At 47.8% G+C, this 986-nt stretch overlaps 1 annotated feature.

The window, feature by feature from the left end:
• Window positions 251-451: a silencer, noted in NCBI's record as "peak6814 fragment used in MPRA reporter construct". NCBI's record gives its function as "represses an SCP1 promoter by STARR-seq MPRAs in K562 erythroleukemia cells {active_cell/tissue: K562}" and the evidence as "EXISTENCE:reporter gene assay evidence [ECO:0000049][PMID:32103011]".

Here is a 986-nt window from a genome sequence, read left to right on the forward strand (position 1 = left end):
CACACCCTCCGCAGCTGCTGGCCTGGGTGCTAAGCCCCTCACTGCCCGGGGCGGCAGGGCTGGCTGGCTGCTCCGAGTGCGGGGCCGCCAAGCTCACGCCCACCCGGAACTCTAAGTGGCCCGCAAGCGCCGTGCGCAGCCCCAGTTCCAGCCGGTGCGTCTCCCTCCACACCTCCCCGCAAGTGGAGGGAGCCGGCTCCGGCCTCGGCCAGCCCAGAGAAGGGCTACCACGGTGCAGCGGCGGGCTGAAGAGCTCCTTAAGTGCAGCCAGAATGGGCGTTGAGGCCTAGGAGGCACCGAGAGCGAGCAAGGGCTGTGAGGGCTGCCAACACGCTGTCACCTCTCAACATCATCAGGAATGCATGTGGAAACTGCATTGCTTGGTGAGTCAGCTTCTTGGGACCTTCAGACCAGCTGGTGTAAGTGGGATCCTTCAGACCAGCTGGTGTCAGTAATTTTTTGGGTAGGTAGGACCTGAAAGAATATCTCAAAGGGAAAATTTAACATTTTATAATATTGAAGTTGTTATTTATGGAGCAGTTAAGAGGAATTATAATCTTGTAACAGGGTCTACATAATTACAGGACAATAGGCAAACAACTATGAGGAAGAGGGTCAGAGAGTAAGCTAACCTAATGATTAATGCTGAATGTGTTGCAAGTTTGATTTGTTTTTATTTTCCCTCTTGCTTCTTCCTTGCTTAAATTTATAAAGTATATAGGGATGGTTTCAATAGCACCGAGACGGAGAGGGGCATATGGAAGCACAGTCTTAAACGATCTTTTTCAGATAGAGTGGTGTCATATTACTTGAACATAGGCTGTGGTAAGTTAAAGTGTGTACTAAAATATTAAAGCAACCACTAGAAAGAGAAACTAAATTGTTTTAGGTAATAAGCCAATTAAGGAGATTAAATGGACTCCCTAGTAATACTCAAACCAGAAGAGTACATAAATAACAACATATGGGAAAATGATAAAACAAAT

The sequence above is a fragment of the Homo sapiens genome, chromosome 7, assembly GCF_000001405.40.
Source record: "Homo sapiens chromosome 7, GRCh38.p14 Primary Assembly".
NCBI lineage: Eukaryota > Metazoa > Chordata > Mammalia > Primates > Hominidae > Homo > Homo sapiens.